Raw genomic sequence first — 24,132 nt, forward strand, 5'->3', positions numbered from 1 at the left:
TTTCTGATTCAGGTCAGGAATAGGGTCCAATAATTTGCATTTCTAACAAGTGCCCAGGTGATATTGACAGTTGCTAGAAAACACTGATCTATACTGACCTATTAAGTTGCTCTGTGGCCTTAGGCAAATCCCTTCTTTTTTTTTCTGCCCCACTGTCTCAATGCATACAATCGGGGGTGGGGGGGTGTAGACTAGAACTGTGACTTCCAGACCTTATTTATTTGTTTTTTTTTTTTTTTAAGCAGCAAAACCCATCTTTCTGGCCAGGTGCGGTGGCTCATGCCTGTAATCCCAACACTTTGGGAGGCCAAGGCGGGTGGATCACCTGAGGTCAGGGGTTTGAGACCAGCCTGGCCAACATGGCAAAACCCCGTCTCTACTAAAAATACAAAAAAATTCGCCGGCCTTGGTGGCGGGCACCTGTAATCCCAGCTACTTGGGAGGCTGAGGCAGGAGAATCACTTGAACCCAGGAGGCGGAGGTTGCAGTGAGCCGAGATCGTGCCATTGCACTCCAGCCTGGGCGACAGAGGCTGTCTCAAAAAAAAAAAAAAAACAAAAACAAAACAAAACCAAAACATCTTTCCAAAGAAATCTCATATATGATTCCAATACATAAGAATCTGGTGAAGTGCTGGATGGGAACCCAGAGCTTATGGCACCTATCTCCCCACAGAGCAGGCACTGGAGTACCTCCCGGAGTACACATCTGCAAATCCCTTCACTAGATGTGGCCTATATGTTCTTTGAGGACTCTTCCAGCTCTGCCATTCCAAGATGCCAACAGACTTCTAGCATTTTGCCATTGTGAGGGGACAGGGAAGAGCTGGAAGGAAACTGATGTTGCACAAGACTGCTTTGCCCATGCCTAATGCTTGGATCATACACAGGAAAGATCTTAACACTGCTGGGCTGTTGGACTAATGGATCCCTTTGACAACTTGATAAAAGCTAGAAAAATGATTATACGTATACCCACAATGATACTTAGTATATCCTTTCAAGTGTTGTAGACACTCTAGGGGTCCTAATCCAAGTTAAAACTCTTGACTGGGCTCTAGCACGGCACTTTTACCAAATTCCTCTTTGGCATTTTCTTAGCATAAGCTCTCTCCGTCATTTCTTGGTGCGGCCGTTTACAGAAATCCCTTAAGGCACCTAGCAGAGGCATCAGGTTATCATTTGGTCCTTCCTCACCAGGCTGAAGGCTCTAAGGAATGAAAACATGGTTTATTCATCCCTATCTCTTGGTAGCTCAGGGCTGACATGGGGTAGGCACTCTAAGGTGAGGTGAGTTTCTGAGGGGATTTGGTGAGCACAGAGAAGGGGCTCTGGATCAGTCCCTAAGATGTTTCTCTGGCTCTAATGCACACCACAGGGAAGCCCACTCTCATCTTTTCTAGGCCAAAAGAGTGCAGAAGTGACAAAGAAAATATTCTCTCTGGCTTTCAACTGCTGTTTGGTGCATAGTGAGGGCAGGTGTGGAGAACAGCAGGAAGCCTGCTGGGTAGCAGCAAGGTGGCCTGGCTCTTCCCGCTGTCAGGGAGGCTCTAAGCAAACCACCTGGCCACTCGCTAGGCTCTGTAGCCAGCAATGCCTCTGGAGCCTGATGCTTCCAAGTGAGCTGGCCTCATACTACAGCTGAGAACAGAAATGGTTTGAGGAGTCCGGAATAAGATATGGGTGGAGCCTGGTTATAGGAGCAATCAAAGCCAGAGGCCCAAAGGACCTCAGGACCTAGCTCCTGGTCAAAGCCTTGTCTGGAGCCTCCACAGATAAGGGAAAACTATACTGGTCTGCCCCAGCACCCACCCTCTTCATCTCACAAACACCAAAACTACAGTTGCCTGTTTATTATTTTTCAAAACAAAACAAAAACAAAAGACATTCAAAATTCCCCTGTGGTGGACAACTGAGTTGATGTGGCTGATCCAGGCTGTCTCCCAGGTTGTCTCAGGGAGCATCAGTTGTACTAGGGGGTGGGCTGTTGCCCTGGCACGGCTGGATGAACACTTGCACCAGGGATGGCCATCAGAAGAGCTGCAGGCCAGTTTTGAGCCCATGCAGCTGCCCCTGGCTCCAGAGAAGGCCCTCGAAGTTGCTGCTGCTGCTGTTGCTGCAGTTGCCACTGCCGACACCACAGCTCAGGCCCAAGGTGCTGAGGAGAGAGTGGGAGGTCAGTCAGGGAAGGAGGCAGCTTTAGGCTCTGGAGGGGCCAAGAGTGCTTGACATGTGTGTATCTGTGGGATGGGCCCACTCTCCTGCCTGGCTTTACAAAGAGACTGGAGCAAATCCGAGAAACGACTTCGTGTGGGCCCCAGGGTTGACTTGGCCCTCTCCTCAGTTGAGGAAGGGAGGGAAGGAGGCAAGAACTTTTCAAATGAAGTTTTATGCAGAGCCCTAGTAGATAAACCAGATTAAAGCAGAGCTGTTTGGGTTGAGGTAGGGGAGGGGGCCCCACATAACCTGACTCCCAAGACATTGAAAGTAGCTGCCTTAACAGGACATCCTTTCAAGGCCTTAGAGCTTGGGGGCCTGGATCCCTCCCACACCCAACACCTGGTTAAGGGGCCCAAGGCCAGGCTTGGGCTATAAGACTAGGCCCACGATTGCAAGATTGCTTTAGGGAGGGTGGCTCTGCCCTCCTTCTCCCTGGCCCTGCTCATAACACTCTTGCTTCCCCTGCTTCCCGCAAGTCAAGGTCCTTCCAGCTGGGTGAGGGTGACAGCTGAGAGCAAAGCCATCACCCTACCCTCAGGCAGATCCATGGTTACACTACTGCAGCTGAAAGAACCCTTACGGATAATCTAGTTCCACCACCTCCCATCACCCACAATCTTACAGACAAGTTAACTGAGGCCCAGAGATGGGAATGGACTTTCCCAAGGCCACATAGCCAAGTCAGGGGTGGAGCTGAGACAAGAAGCAGGGGTGGGCATGCCCCTCCACAGCAAAGGAAACGTCCCTACTACAGTGGGTGTGGGAGCTGGGCTGAATCAGCTTCCTTCTTGACTGAACAGCTCCAGCTGCCCACACTTCACCCTTGCTATCCATGGTACTCAATAAGCCATCCTTACCCAGGGCCAGGCTGGTTGGGAAGGAGGGGTAAGGGCACCTCTCTCAGACATGTGAATCCCACTCCCAACTACAGATCTCCTGGCTTCCCCAGCTGCCACCTCTCTTCTCCAAGAGGCCTGCTGGCCCATGGCCTTGGACAGAGTCCATGGCATTGCCTTGGGTCTGGCCTGCTTCTGGGGCCCCTGGATTCTATAGCCCTTTCCCAGAATGCCCAGATGAAGAGGGGTTCATCTCCCAGGGAGTGGGCAGGCAGCAAAGGGAAAGACTTAGTTTCAGGGGCCCGCAGGGGTTCCTCTCTAGTACTCACAGGATTATCTGGTCAGAATGGCCCAGCATTCTGGAATGTACAGGCCCTTTGGATGGGCTCCTTTGTGTTACTAGCATAGCCCCTCAGCAAGGGCTGCTTGGTTCCTGGCTCCCTGGTGACCCAAGGGCTCCCACGCCTGTGATCCAGAGGCGAGTTTTGAGGGAGAGCATGAAGCCCCGTGCAGGCCTTGCTACCAAGGTGCCTGGACAGTGTGGGGAGGCCTACTGATTACTCTATGCACCATTAGACAAATCCCTTCCCCTTTCTGGGCCTCAGTTTTCTCCTCAGTAACGTGAAAAAGCTGGATGAGAGCATCTATTTTTGACTTTTTAGGAGTGGTGGACCAGTTAGAGAATCTGCTGAAAGCTATGGACCCTTCTCCTCCCAAAATGTGTGTGTGTGCCTGCACACACACACACACACACACACACACACACACGTCCATCCATAAGCACAAACTGAATGCAATCTGAGAGGGATGCCAAGCCCAGCTGTGTGTGGCTACTTCACTGGCTCCCCACACTAGGGACAGGGAGAGCTGGCAAGGGCCCAGCCAGGGACTGGGGCTTACACTTCACTCATTTAGGCCCTGACTGGGGACAGCTACCTCCCCCACCCACCTCACCTTGTCTTCTCTCCCTCCCACAGGTGGCAGAGAAAGGGGGTGAGAAATCCTGTTGCCATGGGCACTCACTCAGTCTTGCATGTTGAGGGTTCCAGCCGCTGCTCTAGCACAGGCTGGTCCAAAAGATACATGGTGTCATAATTCTCCAGCATGAGCTCTGCTGGGTCCTCGGTCTGACCTGGCATTCGGCCTAGGGGAAATGTGTCCCATCGCACGTCTTCTGTGGAGCAAAGGGAAGTGGCAAGACTGGGCTGATGAGCTGGTTCTCCGACTGGTGCACAGGCCTGCTCACCCTGTCCATCCACCCACCCCACTTAGCACAGGTGGGCTCTCTCAGGATCTCCAGCTTCACTGCTCTCGGTATCACTTCTCATGAGCCCCTCTCCACCAGAGTGCTTCACCACACATTCTTTATGGTCCTTCTCCCCCTCTATGTGCTTACATATACAAGTATACAACTACAGACATTTTTGTCCCTCTTTGCTCTTTTCCTACTTCCCCAGGCATGTTCCACACGGACACAAACAACAACTTCTGACCAGGCTGTATCACTGCTTCAACTTTTCATCTTCACCCCTATTTCCCTGTCTGTAGACACACACACAGGGACACATCATGGAGGGTCTGGATGTCCCAGAATTCCCAAAGCACCTCCCCCTCAAACCCCAAACCCACCAGTACCTCAGAGTAGCTGAATGACCTAGATTTCCTACAAATCTACACACACACTCCCCTGCCTGTTTGAATACCACATATTTTCTTAATGCAGAGATACACACACACCCCCATGCCCAACTCAGGGTGGACTCCCTGAGATAGTATGTTCCCCTGCCCCCTGCAGTTCTTGCCCCAAGATGCACAAGGTACACCCCTTTTCTAGGGAACGGCTGTCTCACCACACATCCCACCCCTCACAGCCACCCAAATATGTATACAGAAGCACACATACACAAGTCCTTCACTCAGTGACTGTCCTGTTCACTCCCTGCCTCCCACACCCCTCATTCACTGGCATACAACCAGCAATCTTCCTGTCCCTACCTCCCCACACATGTGTACACACATAAGGAGCAATGGCAAAGGAGAAAGGGAAAGAGTTAATGTTCTAGACTTTCCACATTCACAACTCACATCCCCCCATATACAGATGCTCCACTTTAGAATGGGGATGCCGGACATCCCCCATCCCTCTCTGTCGTATCACTGAGACGCCTACCACACAGTATTATATTAAATGTCCCTCCCCATCCTTCCACAAGTGCATTCAGTGTTTTCAAATGAAGCCTTCACTGGTGCATTCCATGTAGATTCCATTTCTGGCCTTCTGCATCTCCCTGGTACTCAAAGAATTCTCCCTGTCATAATGCCCCTGGCATTCTATAATGTGTCAACCCTGGACCAGCTTTTTATGTAACCCAGAGCTCCTCAGGAAGGACTGTTCCTCTACTTGTCCATCCCCCTCCCCTGGCTCTCTTACTGGAAGTTGTGCCTGTCTTAATGTCCTGCATTACTCCATGATACAGAGACACCTTCGTGCACAGGGGCCACTACCTACATAGGCTCTGTCACTGACCCGATCATCTCTCTGTCATCACTAATATCGCCAATGCTGTCTACATCACTACCCCTGCCTCTTTAGCCTGATACCCTTGTACATGTCCCCAGTGACGGCGTGAACATACAGGCCATCTCTGGATGGCTATATCTCACTGCCTGTTCCCACTACCCCTCCATAGCCACCAACCTCAATGCTATCACTTCTCTCTCACACAGATTACCTATTAGCCCTCATGGATTTCAGCAACCCTGCCTCCTCTTCACAAAGCTGTACGACAGCCTGCTTGGCCATGACTTAACTGCCCCTACTTTTCCCTTTTTCCTATACACACACACACACACACACACACACACACACACACACACACAAATTCTGCTTATGTCAATGCCCCTCCCTTTCAATATTTACAAAGAACCCCCAACACAGCCCTCCTTGCCCTAAGTTATTTGTCACTGGGCTATGGTTTGACCAGCAGGTACAGGAACATGCCCATACACACACACACAGAGAGACAGACTTTATGTTTTATGTTCCAGCCCTTCCACCCTGTCCATACAAGGACAAACAAAGGCCATAGTATCTTTCTCTATAAACTCATTCACTGCCTCCCCTCTCACTCTCTGCCACTGCACACCCCACATCACGCAGGCCCAGCTGTTCTCCCTCCCTCCCCAGGCTTCAGCACACAGACACCACACTGTTCTGTCATCCCTTCTGTGTGTTCCGGCCTCCGAGGTTCCTGTTCATTAACCTAAGCAAGGGTACTCAAAAGGAAGAGCAGATCCCTATCACTAACCCTCCCTGCAGCCTCTTCCTAGCTTTGGCCTCACTAATTTGTGTGCTCACCTAAAAATCACAGCATTCCTTATTCTGTCTTGTGATCTCACTTCCTGTTTCTCTGACTTAATGCCCTAGGTTCCTTCTTTCTTTCTTTCTTTCTTTTTTTTTTTTTTTGAGACGGAGTCTCGCTCTGTCACCCAGGCTGAAGTGCAGTGGCGCGATCTCGGCTCACTGCAAGCTCCACCTCCCAGGTTCACGCCATTCTCCTGCCTCAGCCTCCCGAGTAGCTGGGACTACAGGCGCCCGCCACCACGCCCAGCTAATTTTTTTTTTGTATTTTTAGTAGAGACACGGTTTCACCATGTTAGCCAGGATGGTCTCGATCTCCTGACCTCGTGATCCGCCCGCCTCGGCCTCCCAAAGTGCTGGGATTACAGGCATGAGCCACCACGCCCGGTCTCCTAGGTTCCTTCTTTCTAATACACACATCAAAATCTTGTCTCACCACCAGCCAGCCTCAAGGCACACACACACATACACAGAAAGCACTGTCTCACTGCAAGTGAAAAACACGTGCAGAACCATATATGTACACACTCCCTACTTCTTGCTATCTTCTGCCTCTATGTTACTGCCCAGGGCTCACACCCATGTCATCCTCTCAGAATGTGCTCTTATGTGAGGTAGCCAGCAGCCTGACAGTGGTCCCTGGCACTCACAGGCTCCATCCTAAGAGGTGGGAGAAGCCAGCTGTCATCTATGCACCAGGCTGCCTTCCAGGCTTGCCTCACATTGGCTACCTCCTGCTACTTTCCATCTCTTCCTAGGGTAGAAGGAAGCCTCAAGAGCCAGCCAAAGAGAAAAGAAGTCCATGTGGGGACAAAGTAGTTCTTACCTGAGCTAACCTGCCATGCAGAGCCCTGCAAAGCTCCTCTTTTCTGGGCCAGAAGCCTAGCATTCTCGGCAGTGGGGGACTCTTGCCCTGTAGAGAAAGGCCCCACCTCCATTCTGTCTTCCTCTTCATCATCTTCATCATCTTCATCCTCCTCTTCCTCCTCTTGGTCATCATTTTCTTCCTCCTCCTCTACCTGGTCTGGCAAGACCTCTTTCTCCTCCTTCTCCTCTTCCTTGACATCATTAACACTGCCCTGCTCCTCCTGTTGCTGGGCCTTTGCTTCAGACCCGAAGCTGGAGCTGGCTGGCTTGACGCTCCAATACAGGCTGTCTAGTGTATATGGAGACTTCCCAATGGGGGAGGCCTCAGAGCCCTCCTGCACCAGGCTGTTTTCTCCACTCTGGGTATAAATGGAACAGATGCGCAGCAGCTTCTCCTGCTCCTCGTCTGGCAGGCCCTGCCCCATGGCTTTGAAGATGCTGAGCAAAGGGAGGGATGGGGTAGGAAAGATTCAAAATCTCAAGCCACTTCATACCCCAACACTCCAGGGTTTGAACTTGGTCTCTGAACTTCCAGACCTGCCTCTGAAAGGCAGTGTAGTAGAGCAGACAGAACATAGAAACAACAGGACCATGGACCCAGAACAAACTCTGTGGTTCATCTCTGTGCCTCACTTCCATTCTCAGGTAAAATGAGGACAATAATGATACCTAATGTATAGGATTGTTGGGAGGAGTAAATAAGAAAGCTCACATAGAATGCCTGGCACAGTGCCTGGCACATAGTGGGCATGCAATAAATGATAGCTATTAGTCTGCACTTAAAAGCTACATAAATGCACAAAACAGCCAACAGGCCTGCAGGGCTGGAAATGAACAGATCCCTCTCTTCTCTGGCCTAGCTGAGCAACCTGTCTTGAGCTCCAAGGATATGCCTGGAAGTGTTCTGTGCTCCTTCTGCGTGGAACACAAACTGTGATCCCTTTATGGGAGCAGCTACAGCCCAGCCTGGAATGGAGGAAAAGAAAAAAAAAGCAGCGGCTGACAAGACAAAGCAGGATGTGGGAGGGAGGCCAGATGAGCACTGCGAACCTACTGCAGGCACTGCGGGGCTGAGGGAGACAGAGAGCACGAGGAGGGCAGGAAAGACCAAGGGAGGGCTTTGTGCAGGAGGTAGGGCCCGGGAAGCCCAGAGACAAGAGCAAGCACACGGTGCTGCTGCGTGCAGTGAGTAGCCCAGCTAGAGGGCACGGCCTGTGCTGAGGAGCCGTGGGAGGAAGAGAGGGCTGGGAAGGTAAGTGTGTGCATTGGTGTGTGTGTGAGGGTTCACCTGCCAATTCTGAGTACACATGAAGGCTATGTTTCTGAAGATCACCAAGTGACCATGTGGAGGCTGGCCTGGACAGGCAGCCTGGAGGCAGGGAGACCAGGGAGGAGCCTGTTCCGACAGTTGAGGCCAGAGTCGGGGAGGGCTGACCTGGGGCACTGGCAGTGGAGATGGGAGGGAGTGAAGCTGTGAAGGACACACAGACAGACAGAGAGCAGGGCTTGGTGACTGATGGCAGGGGTCAGGCAGAGTTAAAGATGATGACACTGTGCACACAAAAGACGGCGCCAACAGCAAAACCACCAACAGATACAGAGCTGCTGGGAAGGGGAGCTCGAGGGGAGAGGAGGGTGAGCACCCCTCACAGAGCCTCTCATAGAGCCTGGCACCTAACAGGCACCCAGTCACAGATGGATGCGGATGGTTCACAGACGGGCCATGAGCTCAGCAGGCTGTTTTCTCTCTGGGCACATGCAGACTGGTCACATATGCAGGGTGACTGGTCAGTGGGGGCAGGGCTGGGGGGCTGATGACTTCACTGGAGATCCTGTCTATGGAGGCAATTTCATATTCCAAGACGATAGTGGCTCAAATTAAATTGATATTGGCTGGCTGGAGAAAGTGCTTGAAAAGCTTCCAGCTCTAATCAGATGAAAAGCCAGAGAGAAACTTTGTCCTCTCATGGTGGTCCATTAGTGTGATTAATAATAAATATTCCCAGACACTTGATACTGGCAAAATGCCTTATCAGCCCTGTTTATGATTACCCACCTGCTATCTCGAACCATTAGTCTGACCACTAAGGTGCGGGGGTGATGCGAATCTTAAAATACACCCCCTTCCTCGAGTATGTCTGGTCATAGCTCAGGACTGAGAAGGTCACAGATTCAGGCTGATGGGATGAAGGTAGACTTTGGGCTCACACCACCTGGGCCAAGATCCCTGTCCCACCATCAACAAATGTGTAGCTATTAGATAAGTCCCATCACTCCTTAGAGCCTCAATGTCTTATCTGTCAAATAGGGTATAATATATAATACTTCCACCTCCCAAGACTGCTGTGTCAAAGTAAATGAAGTTAACCTCTACAAAAAAACACAGCACCATGCCTGACACTTAATTTCCAATAGTATCTTTTATTTTTTCTCTGGGGAAAACAAAAGCCAAGTTCTGTGTTTAACAGATGCTTTCTGCAATAATACAATCTAGTGGAGTATTACAGAAGAGCATGGGACTAAGGACAGGCTATCTGGATTCTGGCCCCAGCTCTGACTTGCAGCATAATACCTGGGCAAACCCCCTCTGTTCTCCACTCTGTGTAACGGGGTGATTAGGACTAGATTCACTGCTTATCTGGGAAAGGCAGGATCTGTGCACAAGAAATCGTACCCAAGTGAGCCGCTGTTACTGCCGGCATGTGTCGCATCCCTCTGGTATGCTTGGGTTGGGAGAAGATCTCTGTGGTCCAGACTTCTCCGAGACCAGCAGCTTCCACTCTGCAGGCACTTAGGATTGGAAAGTACCTTGAAGGCCACCTATCCAAACCTCTCCATGCTGCTCTTGTCACTCCCTCCCTCCCATTATATACACATGCCATGTTCCTTCTGGACTTTGAAACTTGCTTTATTCTTTCTCCTGCTTGAATTGTTCAAATGCCTCCTCTTGAAACTCTGACTCATCCAGGCCCTTTTGGTTCTCCTCCCAATTGCCCACCCATCCACATCACTTCTAGTCTGGAGCACACATCTGGCAATGTGGCTGTTCAGTTCCAACTCCTGGAAGTCTTGCCTTGACTGACTTTGTCTACAAAGCCACTTTTAAAACCTTACAAATACCTCTGTGTCCCAAATGCCATCAGGGTTAAAGAAAGACTTTTGGACTCAATAGGGGGATCAGGGACTAAGAGGGTCTTGGCATCCAGACTCCCACTTCATTCATTCCCCAGGCACTGGGTCAGCTCCCACCAAGGACAGCACTGCTGGGAATGAGAGAGCAGAGCACGGTTCAATTCAACGACATTTACTGAGGCCTGTTTGGTGCCTAGACTTGTGTGGTGTGCTAGGGCACGGACAGCTGATGTAGAGTCCTTGCCCTTGAAAAGCTTAGTCTGATAGAGGGAAGGAGACACTAAGGGAAGTAGACACGGCAACACAAAACCTCAGATTTGGGAAGTATTCGAGAGTCAACAGGACAGGGTAGATGGTGCCGCCACCAAGTGAGATAGGGAACAGAGGAGGAAGATCACTTTAGAGTTGAGATGGGGACTGAGACGACCAATTCTCTTTTGGTCACAGTAAGGTGCCTGTGGGCCATCCAAGGGGAGATGTCTGACATGTAGTCGAGTACAGGAGGCTGAATCTTGGGGGAGGGGCCAGGGCTAGACAGATTTGGGTTTCAGCACTTTATAGGAACTAGTAATAAGCACAGGCATTTTTTGAGGAGGGGGTGGTAAACAGCATCAATGCAGCAGACACAGAGACTGACAAGGGCCCACTGATTTGGTAATTAGGAGGTCAAAGCAACTCTGGGGGTGAATGTCAAATTGCAGCAGGTTGAGGAGTAAGAGGGTAGTGAGGAAATGGAGAGTGTTGAGTGTAGACTACTCTTTTGAGATGTTTTGATGGGAAGGGTGGGAATGATAAGCTGATGATAACCCAACAGAGGGATGCAGGGTCAAAGGAGATTTTGCTTGTGTTGCTGTTATTGTTGTTTTGTTTAAGATGAGAAAAGCTCAGGCACGTTCCTAGGTTGAAGAGCAAGAGCCAGCAGAGCAAGGTAGAGGCTGGGGTGAGGCCCCAGCGATGCTGGCAGAGGTGGCTCCAGAGCACAGGTGGAGGAGCAGGCTTTGAGGTGGGGCAAGGCCACCTCATCCTGAGACTGGCGAGAAGGTTGAGTGCAGCCGCAGATCAGTTCACGAGGGCTGGACCTCAGGTCGAGGGGGCCCTGCCGGATGCCTCCATGTGCTCGAGGAAGCTAGGGTGAAATGGGAGAGGGGGAGGGGCTTGAGGTGAGCGGTAAGGGTTTAGAATAGTGAGGAAATGGGAGAGAAAGTGGTCAGAAAACAAGTAAAAGTTCAGACAAGCAGAACTGAGGCCTCGCCCGAGATTAAAAATCATACCTCTGCAGTGGCAGCAATCCGCAGGGCTATGTGGTTTTCTCCAGCAGAGCTCAGCTACCCGGGCTGAGGAGCAGGGGAAGCAGAATGGGGAGGATCAATTCCAGCTCAGGGGTTTGCAAGTCAGATATGGCCAAAGGATGGGCAAAGCTGAAGGTGCTGATGATGAGTGGCCGAACTGAGCAACCACAGACAGGATAGAGAGGAAGCAAGGTCAAGGGATGCAGGAAATGGAGGGATGGAGATCTGGATGCAGGCAAAGAGCAGATGTCATGGGATGCAAGGGTGAGAACTAGAAGGACGAGAAGTGGTGGTCACCGAGTGGGATGCTGGGATGTGAGCTTTCAGAGGTGGAATAGCTCCGAATGATGGAAATGGGTTGCTGAGTGTAGTGGAGAATGAAAGTCACTGGAGTTGAGGAGCTGTAGAGTGTCAGATGAGTCATCCAAATGAAACAGATATTGCTCAAGAAAGCAAGAAGGGAATCAGGCGCTAAAGGCTTCCATGATTATGAGGGAAGTGGCTCAGGGTCAGGAAATGACAGAGAAAAGGAAAGGGAGACAACCACAGGTATTTACCAGTGCAATATTCAGTTTGACCATAGAACCCAGGGTGGATAGGGTAAAGGAGACTCACAGGAGGTATGGCTACCATGGTAAGTTGGGCCAGAATCAGAAAGATCTTTGAATGTCAGGCTAAGAAGCCTAGACTTAACAGGAAGGCAATAGGGAGCAACTGAAGGTTGCTAAGCAACTATCAGAGGTATACTTTGGAAAGATAATAGAGGAAACAGCACTGGGCTTGGAGTCAGAAGACCTGGGTTCAATAATAAACAGCAGCTACCATTTATTGTGCACTTACTCTGTGCAGGCCACTGTGCTAAGCACTCTAGGGGGATTGTCTTATCCATTCCCACACTGGACTCAGTTCAGTCAGGTCTTAAGCTGTATGATCTTAGGTAAGAAAACCCTACCCCTCCCCTCTCTGGACTCAGTTGTCCCATCTGTCAGTGGGAGTGAGACTGGGCTAGACTGTCCCCAAAGGGCCCTTCTAACTCAGTCATTCTAGGGCAGTGTGGCCCTGAGGCTTGAAGGGCCTCACCCTCTTACCGGATGGAATTCAAGAGACTTACATCCGAAGGAGTTGGGGGCTGGCCCAGCAAGGTGAGCCCAAGCAGGACTCAACCATCCGGGGCCAGTCAAGGGAGGCGGAGCAGTTGAACAGCCTCCAGCCCCTTCTTGCTTCCCACTGGCCTGCAGAAAATCGGCGAGCATTCCGTCCTGAGAGAGAAGAGAGGATCTAAGGAGAAGGAAGCAGTGAGCCCCCCACCCAACATTTCACCTCAGAAAGTTTGGCTCTGTCCCTCCCCATCCCCCCAGACTCCCCACCTATACCTCCCAACTGCTCAAAGAATTCAGGGCACTTTGCCCCAGCCCAGTTTAGTTGGCTCTGAGAAGAAAAGGAAAAGGGAGATTTGTCCACTGCTGCCGTGGGGCCCTCTTGGGCAAACCTAAACCTTTAACACGGGAGGTGTTTGCCTGGTGCTTCTTAGCAGAGAGCTGAGGACAGTGGCAGAGGCTCCTGCCTGGGCTGCCTTAGGCCCTAGGGCTAGGGCTAGTCTCCCTCACCAGTCTTGGTGTTGGCCACGATCAGTTCAACGGTCCATCTGAGGATGTAGGTAGGCCGGATCCCGCTGATCCCCAAGGCTGGCAGTTCAGAGAGCATCCTCTCCAATAGGGCCTGCGTGAAGTTCTGGGAGTGCAGGCCCCTGAGCAGGGGCTGCCAGAACTGAGAGAACGGCTTTGGCACCAGGACGTCATTCAAGTCCACGTTTTCTGGTTTGTAAGGGACACCCATTTGGGGGGGCAATAGGAGAGAGAGAGCAGGAGAGCACGAAAGAGAGAGCAAGAGACAGCAAGAGAAAGGAAGTGAGAGTGAGAGCAAGAGAATGTGTGCGCGCGCATGAGCCAAGCCCCCCACCAACAACAGAGTTGCCACCGCAGAACAAAGGAAAGAGGAGAGCAGAACAGTGGGGAGAGAGAAACCAGTTAGTATCTGGCAACCAACAACTGACTCAAAATAAAGTATAAACAAAACAGAGATCTGGTTCTAGCTTCAGCTTTGTCAATAACTCACTGTGTGACTTTGGGTCAGTACCTTCCCCTCTCTGGACCTCAGTCTGACCATCTGTAACATGAGGATGTTGGACTAGATGACCTCACAAGGCCCCTCCAATTCTGCTGTTCTAGCTCTCTAGCTAGCAGCTAAATCACAACGAACATGGCACAATAATGTCATTAAGACTCCCCGACCCCACCCCATCCCACCCCACCCCATTCCAGAGCACTTAAGGGCAGCCCCACAACTGTCAGTGGGGCTACCTGTTCTGCTCAGCCAGGAAGGCTGAGGGACTTTCAGAGGCCATGGAATGGCAGGAAACAGCCTTCACACCCCAACCCAGGGCCCCCCAGCCCACCCCAGCTGTTTCCACCCAGGAATCAGAACCCTAAGGGTGCAGTGAGCCCCCAGAACCCTACCTTCATATTCTATCTGCAAAGCTGCCAACTGTTCAAATGTGGGGACAAGGAAGCCATCATCCAGAAAAGCATCCAGCACAGCCTCCCTGGAACAAGAGGACACTAGTTTAGCAAAGTGATGCTGGCAGAAGACCCTCTCCTACTCCTCCACCCACCTCCAAAGCAGCTAATGCCTCTGGCTCAAGTGGCTGAAGCAGCATAGGGAGGAGGGGTGGTGGGTGGGTAGGAGTGGGGAGGAAGGGAGTTGACAATTGGATCTTAGGCTTCAGCCTCCTCAGGCAGGGGCTGGTTAGAGGCTGGGATCAGTGGGTTTTGAACAAGTGCTTACCAAGCACTAATGCTGATCTATGGCCCATAACGAGAGCAGTAGTGTCTGAATACACTTCAACACACAGACAGGAAAAAGTTCCACATCCACAGAAGGAAATAAATGCCTGGGATCATGGGGTCAAGGGCTTTTAGACTCAGTTCTTGCAGTCTGTTTATCTTGACCATTCTTCAGTACCCTACCCCTTCTCTTCTCCCTGGCTACCTTCTTTTAGATCCTAGAAGTAGAAACCTTGGGGACCCAACTGCTAGACCAAATATGGTCCATAGGCCTTATTACTAGGGGTTCTAAAAACCCAGAACAAAGTTAGAGGGGTTGCAGGAGTAGGCTATAGGGGTAATCTCTCATCCCTATCTATTAACCCATTTATGCCGAGTGTTCCATTATTGGAACGCTAAGCTTGTGGGAGTTATTTATATCCTACTGCTCAAGGTCTTCACCAAGGTCTGATTTTTCAAAAAAAAAAAAAAAAAAAAGAAAGAAATTGCAACCTCCGGCATAAATGGGTTAATAGCTCAAACCTACACCAGCAACAGCAAGCTGATTCCTCCAGAGTTAGTGGCTTCCCAAGAGGCTTTCTGCTACAGTTTGGATGTTTGTCCCCTCCAAATCTTATGTTGAAATTTGATCCCCAATGTTGACCTTGGTGCCTGTAGAAGGGGTTTGGGTCATTGGGTCGGATCCCTCATGAATGACTTGGTGCTGTTCCCACAGTATTAAGTTCTTGTTCTATTAGTTTCCGCAAGAGCTGGTTGTTAAAAAAGAGCCTGACATCTCCCCCTCCACCTTGCCATTTGATATCTGTACATGTGGACTCCCCTTTGCCTTCTGCCATGAGGGGAAGAAGCAGCCTGAAGCTCTAACCAGAAGCAGATGCTGGCACCATGCTTCTCATACAGGATACAGAAGCATGAGACAAACAAACCTCTTTTCTTCAAAATTACCCAGCCTCAGGTATTCCTTTATAGCAACACTAAACAGATATAGACATTCTCCTAACTGACCAAGCCTAGACGTGGAAAAAAGAGCTCCCAAGTTGTCCTAATGCCTGGAAAATTGACATACTTAGATCCCTCTCTCCAGCATTACCAGGCAGACACTACTGTGTTAGGGGCATAGTTTTCCCAGCTGCTAATGAAGCCACCACCAACCCTTTTGCTGAAGGGTAGAGCCAAGAAACCTAGGCTGGGCAAACACTGATAAAATACTTTTGGAACGAGTATCCTGGACATGAAGAGAAGACTCCAGGGGCAATCCCAGCCTACACTGCAGTTCTCACCCAGGGTTACTCTGCTACCTACACCACCTACCTAAACTCTCCAACTTCTCTCTAGCTGAGGTTTAGCATTGCCTCCACACGTTCTTAGCGGAAAGTCCCCCAAAGCCCTTCCAGCTGAATTTAGGTAGAAAGCCCCCAAGAGCTAGGGAGGAAAGAAGAATGGGTAGACATACTATGCGCCTGCTCTGGACTGAGCTGAGCACTTTGTTTTGGAAACAAAGGCTCACAGCCATACTTGAGAGACAAGGAACTTAGTCTCTAGGAGCCAGACCCTGAGAAGGTCCCGCCTCTATTCCCCTAACCATGACTATCCAAGGGATGCTAATACTCTCCAATGGCAGTTCAAAAGAAAACACCAGGACGGGCGTGGTGGCTCACATCTGTAATCCCAGCACTTTGGGAGGCCAAGGCAGGTGGATCACCTGAGGTCAAGAGTTCCAGACCAGCCTGGCCAACATGGCAAAACCCCGTCTCTACTAAAAATACAAAAATTAGCCAGGTGTGGTGGTACGTGCCTGTAGTCCCAGCTTCTCGGGGAGGCTGAGGCAGGAGAATCCCTTGAACTCGGGAGGCAGAGGTTGCAGTGAGCCAAGATCGTGCCACTGCACTGCAGCGTGGGCAATAGCGAAACTCTGTCTCAAAAAAAAAAAAAAAAAAAAAAAAAAAAAAAAAAAAAAGACCAGGCCGGCTGCAGTGGCTTATACCTGTGATCCCAGCACTTTGGGAGGCCAAGGCAGGACAATCTCTTGAATCCCAAAACTTGAAACCAGCCTGGGCAACATGGTGAGACCCCATCTCTACAAAAAATTATAAAATTAGCCAGACATGGTAGTGCATGCCTGTTGGTCCTAGCTACTTAGGAGGCTGAGGTGGGAGGATTTCTTGAGTGTGCGAGGTTGAGGCTGTAGTTAACTATGTTCGCACCACTGCACTCCAGCCTGGGTGACAGAGCAAGACCCTATCGTAAAAAAAGAGAAAAGGCCAGGCACAGTGGCTCATGCCTATAATCCCAGCACTTTCGGAGGTCCAGAAGGGCAGGTCATTTGAGGCCAGGAGTTTGAGACCAGCCTCGCCAACATGGTGAAACTCTGTCTCCACTGAAAATACAAAAACTAGCCAGGTGTGGTGGCTCACGTCTGTAGTCCCAGCTACTCTGGTGGCTGAGGCATGAGAATCACTTGAACCCGGGAGGTGGAGGTTGCAGTGAGCCGAGACTGCGCCACTGCACTCCAGCCTGGGTAACAGAGCAAGACACTTTCTCAAAAAAAATAAATAAAAAATAAAAAAAAAACAAGACAAGACTAGCAGTGCCCACCATACATATATCTTTTACCTCAAACTTAGACAAGGGCTAGGCAGTGAGTGAGGTGGTAATTATCAAGGGATTTTCCTAGTTGTCAAGAGCTCCACATGCCACCCGACAGACAGGAAAGCAGCTGGCCAGCAGATGGATGATAGTGGGCATTCCTGCCTCTGGCCATTCTAGTATAGGCAACCCCCACCTGGAAGTTGGCAGGGTTGAGGGCAGACAGTTCTGCCAAATGTAGGGTCACTGTGGAGGGGATCAGGATTATCCCTGGGATTTTGTACAGCAGAGGTTGGCAAGCTAGGATAGGGAAACCGATTTCAATGAGGCTGCTACCCTCTATCCTAGAGAATACGCAGCTCCCGGTTACCTAGTTACACACCTGTTCTCGCATGTAACGCCCTTGAGCTCTGCCAGGACACATTCTACACGTGGGGACGGGTTATTCCACGCCTTAATGGCCTTAGGTAAATACCTAAATTTCTCCAGCACCTGCCAGCAAAGAGGGTCCCATCAGAAGGCTGGTTCAGCCAAGCAACCCACCTCCACCCCTCCAGGATCCCTTCCCATAGGACCTCTCAGCACTGCCCTGCAGGGGACAGGGCAGGGCATGCAGGGGGGGGCCCACAACTCCCCTACTGGCCTTGCAACTAAAAATAGCCTGACTCTCAAATGTGAGACTTCCTCCTCCTTCTCCCTCCCTTCCTCCTCCAACTGAATTTCCTGTGGGTAAATACTGAGATGTTCAATGGGGGAATTTGGCTGGAGATAGAGACTCTTAGGCCAAAGGGCCAGAGATGAGGAGAGGCAATGAGTTACAGAAGAAAGATAACTGGGAGATCCAGGTACTAATCCTGGTTCTATCATTAACTGTATATGTGACTTTGGGCCTGTCCCTTCACTCATCCATGGCTTCAATTTCTTAATCTGTGAAAAGGAAGGGCTGAGCTAAATGGTTTCTGAGTGACCTCCCTAAAAACAGCACCCCTCCAGCTCACCTGATTTAGGGAAGCTCTTGGGCCCCATCTACTGGTCAGCTGCGGAATTGCAGGGCTGCGCAACTACCCATTCCCAGTTGTTCCCTACCACCCAGTGGGGCAGATTATCCGCAAACTTCATCATCTGTTCCCTTCCATCGGTGTGGAGGATCAGCCAATTGGACTCTGCTCCTCTTGTCTCCTTCCTAGTTCCCCCCTCTCTCTTTCCGAGAAGTTCCCTCACGCTTTGTCACTTTTCTTTCAAATTCCTTCTCAAGACTTCTCTCAGGTAGCTGGCAAGAGGGAAGAAATGGCTGGGGCAGATGAGAGCACACCAAGTCCAGGGCACTTTCTTACCGTAAACTGCTCCTCTTCGTATGATACCAGCAGTTCTCGGGCTCTTTCTGAAAACAGAATGGGGAGACAGATAGGACTGCCAGCCCAGACCCCTTCTCCTGATGGGATTCTGAGCCTCTCTCACCTCATTTCTTGAGTTGTAATTGAGGAACTAGAATTCCTTCCCCAACTACTTCACAGGGCTCAAGATGGTTTGTGAGGCAAATGTGACAGCCATTATACTATGGAAACTAGCCAGGAGGATGGTTTGTGACAGTAATTTTTTAAGCTAAGATTCACCACAGCCCCAGAGGAAATGCTGAGCCAGGGAAATAAACAGCGTTAACCCTAAGCCTGAGCCTTCTGGGCTCATGGGCCGCTTTCTGCCCTCCAAAACACCTACCATATAGCTCTTTATGACTCAGGGCCTTTTTGCAATGAGAATCCACCTCTTCGCTGCCTTTGCTGTCTCCATCGGCCTTTACATCTGACTCCGTACTTTTCCCATCATCCTGAGGCTCTGGTTTCTGTTCTGTGATGTCATCAACAACAATGTTCTTATCTTCCTCTTGATCCTCTTCCTCTATCCCTTCCCTGAACTCCTCCAACTCCCAGGTCTCTCTCAGGCTGTTCTCCAGTTGGCGGCACCAATAGGTCTTCTGGAGCCAATCCAGGACAAAGTAGCAGCCTAGAGGGGGGAAGGCAGGCAGTGCCACAGGATCAGGCAGGCAGCTAGCAGGCCTCCAGCCTCATCTTGTGGGTATTATAGGAAGGCCCCAGGAAAAGGCTTGGCTCCAAGGTTCAAATCTCAAATATCCAGAAGCAGCCTCTTTCACTCTGGGTTATCCCCCTGTTCTTTGCTTTATCCTGCTTACCAGCACTTTTTCTAGAAAAAAAAACCTATTATTGGACTTAGAGACGAGATGCCAAAAACAGTTAAGGGGCTAGTAAGTGGCAGAAGTAGGAATCAGCCCCATTAGCTAGTTACATGGCCTTGGCCAAGTCTCCCCTTTTCTAGATCTGTTTTCCCATCACAAAGAGTGAGGCTAAATCCAGGATTCTTAATCGGGATGGGGTGGATGTCCAAGGAACCCTTGGGTTCATGACACTGCTGATGGCTCATGCCTGGCAACCTCCCCACCTCAACTATGGAGAGGTATGTGAGACTAATGAGGCACTACCTGAGAAACAACATTTAAGGGGAGTGGCCGGGCACTGTGGTTCACGCCTATAATCCCAGCACTTTGGGAGGCCAAGGTGAGCGGGTCACTTGAGGTCAGGAGTTTGAGACCAGCCTGTGCAACATGATGAAGCCCCAGCTCTACTAAAAAAATACAGCCAGGTGCAGTGGCTCATGCCTGTAATCCTAGCACTTTGGGAGGCTGAGGCGGGCAGATCATGAGGTCAGGAGTTCGAGACTAGCCTGACCAACATGATGAAACCCCATCGCTACTAAAAATACAAAAAAAAAAAATTAGCCAGGCATGGAGGCGCGTGCCTGTAATCCCAGCTACTCAGGAGGTGGAGACAGGAGAATCACTTGAACCCAGGAGGTGGAGGTTGCAGTGAACTGAGATTGCGCCACTGCACTCCAGCCTGGGTGACAGAGTGAGACTCTGTCTCAAAAAAAAAAAAAAAAAAAGTTAATCAGACATAGTAGCATGTGCCTATAGACCCAGCTACTCAAGAGGCTGAGGCAGGAAAATCACTTGAACTCGAGAGGTGGAGGTTGCAGTGAGCCAAGGTCGTGCCACTGCACTCCAGCCTGGGCAACAGGGTGAGACTCGTCTCAAAACAAACAAACAAACAAAAAACAACTTAAGGGCAGGCAAAAAAACCTCTGTAGTCAAGGTATCAAAATATGCCAAGCCATGTTGGAAGCTGAAACAAAAGGAGAAATCAGTAATACTAATCCCGTTTTACTTAAAGTTTTGATATTATGTTTATCATGAATTTTTCCACATTAATATGTTATTTATCTTGATTATGGAACTTTTGACTTCTCCCCACTTTAAATGTTGTGCCCAAGGCGAGGCCTCACTTCTTTCACCCTAGTCCCAGCCTTGACTCCAGGTGGAGACCCTCCTGCCTATCCCTCTACCCTCAGCGCCACCAAGCCCAGGCCCCTGGGCTTAACTGTGATAGGTATAACCTCTGAGGACTCACCTCTGCGGCAGTCATTTATATGGGGCATTTTCTTGTGGGTCAACTCATGGCGAAGGTCAACAATCCAATCCGGAATATTTACCTGATTACAGGGGAGGGTGTGAGTACAGAAATTGGAAAATAATTATTAAAGCTGGAAGGGAGCCAGAGATTAATTATCCTGACCACCTCCTGCCCCATTTTACAACTAGAGAAACTGAGGTCCTGAAAGAAGATTCCAATCACAGTGACAGAGCCAAGAAAAAAAAACAGCTCTTCTTATTCTTTTTTTACTGCTCTATGGAGGAGGTATTGAAAATCAGAAAAGTGGGTCAGGCACAGTGGCTCATGCCTGTAATCCCAGCACTTTGGGAGCCCAGGGCAGGTGGATCACTTGAGGCCAGGAGTTGGAGACCAGCCTGGCCAAGATGGTGAAACCCCATCTCTACCAAAAATACAAATGTAATCCCAGCTACTTGGGTGGCTGAGGCACGAGAATTGCTTGAACCTGGGAGGCGGAGATTGTGGTGAGCCAAGATCACGCCACTGCACTCCAGCTTGGGCAACAGAGCAAAACTCTGTCTCAAAAAAAGAAAAGAAAATCAGAAACATAAAAGGCACACACCTCCCCTAACCACCAACCACCCTTCTACAACAAAGAAATACCTGTGAATGAGCATTAACAATCACGTTCTCCAGCCTCCCTCTAGCCTGTCCTTCTCCCTGAGTATCCTTTACCCCTGCTTCCCTCCTACACCTCCTCCGGGAAGCGCTAATGACTGAGAGCATGCCTGCCCTCTGGGCCTCTACACAGTTCACATACTCCTCAGGGTAGGAATGTCTGAGTTACAGAAGTAGAGACATGGGATGGGAATTCCTGATTTACAAAGTGACTCATAGTGGCTGAGCTGTCTCCTCTCTCAGACTGTCAGCTCCATGAGGGCAGGTGCTGTGACTGTCACCTCTTTCCTGTCCCCACCCAGTGCTACATTTGGGCTCCTCCCAGCAAGCTGGGCAGGCCAAGCCCTCTGAGATACCAGTCATATGAGAGCAAGGGAGCAACTGTGCCTCCTTCAGGCTGGAAGCTGAGGCTCTGGGATTCTTGCTGGGCTTGGCTGGTAGTGATGGGATGAGCTAGTCTGACTGTGTGCCCACAATACCCCATGCCCCATTTGGTGAGCCCTCTTGGAGACAGAATTGAGCAAGTTCACTGAATCATACGCACCTCTTGAGCCAGACACTTGAGGGGGACCTTGGCAAACTTTGTCTTCCTCTCTGAGATAAGATTCACAAACCTGGAGTTGAGGGAGAAATAAGTGGCACAGCCCAAGGAACCATTTTATTCCAAACACTTTGCTGAGTTACTGAAACCCTGCATTTCCACTTTTCCACCGACTGTCCTGTCCTATTCCTACAGCTGGTGTGTCAGCCAGAGCAGGGACAGTTCCATCCATTCCAACATTTAATGAGAGTCTGCCCTATAATGAAGCCATACAGATGAATAAGACACTGCTCTAGCCTTGAACAGTTCGGTCTAGGATAAATAATAATGATACAATGTAACATATTAGGCTAGAACATAATATGTTATAAATGCTGCAAAGGACTACATCAGATAATGGGGAGCACAGCTAACCAATGGAGAAAATAAGAAGAGAAAGGGAGGATCTCAAGGCAGACAAGGGGAAATAGATAAGCAAAGACTTTGACAGATATGAAAACTCAGTAGCAACCTTTTTTTCCGACGTGTATACAGCTAGAACCATTATGAGTCACTTTGTAAGTCAGGAATTCCCAGCCCATGTCTCCACTTCCATAACTCAGCAATCTTTCAGTGTTCATGAGGGAGAGAAGGGGAAAAGGGTAGTGCTAGGAATAGACAGGGACAGGGTTGGAAAGTCCACATTAAATCACAGGCGAGGACCCTGAGCCATTCAGACAAGTTCCTCTGGGTGAGGAATTCAAAGGTAAGAAAAAATATCAGACCACCAAGAGACCCACAGAGATCACCTGGTCTGAATCCCTTCCTCCACATTCCAAGATAGAAAGAAAAATGGAAGAGAAGGCTTTCAGGAAAAAGGAAGAAAAAGAGGAATGCGTTGACGAGGGTACCAAAAGCTGATAAGTCAAGCAATAATCACAGGCTGATCCACAGTGAGGTACACGCAGGGTTTTGCTTCAGGTAACACCTGAAGCCAAGTTTTGCTTATCACATGCCTCCCCTGCCTCCAGTCCCCAAAGCCAACCTCCACCCCTACCCCATGCAGGTCTTACCTGACCAATGCCATGCCATAGAGCAGTCTAAGTTCATCAGTGCCCAAGCCACCAGTTACATCCAAGAGCTTACAGCGTATCAGGTCAGCAGTAGAAGCCACTGCCAGAGGGAGTTCGTTGCCTGACCTAAAGGGTCACAGTCCAGCACCATCATAAAGAGCCCTTACACTGGTCCACCCTCCACCTCAGAACCTAGGTTGTTGCAGGCTACACCCATCATATTCTGGTTCAAGAGAGCATGAACAGACACAAAACAAGAAGGTGGGAGGAGACACGGTAATGTCTGTGGGATCCAACAGTATACAGGGCATGAGGAGCTGACTAGGCCGTATACAGGACACCTAACTGGTAGACTGTCCATCAACAGTTGTGTGGACACACCCCTTTCTTTCACCCCCAAATCAACTCATTGAGCTAGAGGAGCCCCTTATCCCTTGTAAGTCGGCTCCCAACTCAATCTTACCAACTGGACTGAGGCGCCCCACTCAAACACTGTCTTGCAGGCAAGACTTCCTCCCCATTGGAATCGGAAATCTACCCTAGGGTACTAATCTACTCCTTAAGCCCTGGCTCAGGCCTCACTAGTCCCTCCGGCATCCTCTCCAAGTTGGGAGAAAGTCACTTTTTGGAGGTAATGGGTAAACCTCACAGATATAACAAGAGAATTGTTGAGGCACAACCCCTTACTTTCCATTCCGCTAACGGGATTAGCGCAAGAGATGGCTGCCGCGTTCCCCCAGGCATTTGGGAGAGGGACAACTTTAGGCGACTTAGGGGAAGACTGGAGAACAGGGCCTTATAGAAACTCGACAAAGGAAGAGGTGCAGCGCCACCAGCACGCAGGCAAAAGGGCCGAACCCGCCACCTTACCTGCTCCTCCACACCGTGATGCGGTTAAGCGCGTACCGCTGCAACTTATGGTCGTCACAGAACAGATAAACCGTCACCTGGTCCCACTCGGCCCTGCTGAGCCAGGCGACCACGATGCCGTGGGCCGAGAGTGGCAACGACCCTTTCCCTTTAACGCACTTTCCGTACCACGCACTCCACACGAGATCCATCCCCTGGGAACCTAGACCTGGCCCGGCCCCGGATTCCCACGACATACTGAGCTCAACAACAGGCTCTGTGCCGCGCCGCTCCGCACAGCCTTCAGCTCAGCGTGCTACCCTCACTCCGAACCGCCACCGCACCAGCAGCCAATAGGAGAGCGTGACCCCATACGCAAGCCCGCCTTCCAGCGTCAGCATGGCCAATCGGAACGTCA

At 50.3% G+C, this 24,132-nt stretch overlaps 1 protein-coding gene across 25 annotated transcripts; it reads right to left on the reverse strand.

Moving 5' to 3' along the window:
* Positions 1,838 to 24,043, reverse strand: LAS1L (LAS1 like ribosome biogenesis factor). 25 transcript variants are annotated; one of them, NR_164681.1, is made up of 15 exons: positions 23,736 to 24,043; positions 22,866 to 22,991; positions 21,817 to 21,886; positions 20,613 to 20,694; positions 18,850 to 19,134; positions 18,468 to 18,514; positions 17,516 to 17,625; positions 14,221 to 14,306; positions 13,820 to 13,870; positions 13,312 to 13,518; positions 12,816 to 12,963; positions 9,958 to 10,073; positions 7,243 to 7,721; positions 4,079 to 4,229; positions 1,838 to 2,157 (listed from the first exon to the last, which is right to left on the reverse strand). NR_164681.1 is itself a non-coding variant. In NM_001375328.1 (14 exons), the coding sequence occupies exons 1-14, from the start codon at positions 23,969 to 23,971 to the stop codon at positions 2,031 to 2,033; spliced, it is 2,202 nt and encodes a 733-aa protein (NP_001362257.1). In that variant the 5' UTR covers positions 23,972 to 24,043; the 3' UTR covers positions 1,838 to 2,030. The 25 variants fall into 25 exon arrangements, 20 of the variants coding, with proteins under 20 accessions (NP_001362257.1, NP_112483.1, XP_011529347.1 ...); NR_199823.1 differs by lacking the exon at positions 13,820 to 13,870; NM_001375328.1 differs by lacking the exon at positions 9,958 to 10,073 and having other exon boundaries at positions 4,079 to 4,226.

This window comes from Homo sapiens, chromosome X (assembly GCF_000001405.40).
Source record: "Homo sapiens chromosome X, GRCh38.p14 Primary Assembly".
NCBI lineage: Eukaryota > Metazoa > Chordata > Mammalia > Primates > Hominidae > Homo > Homo sapiens.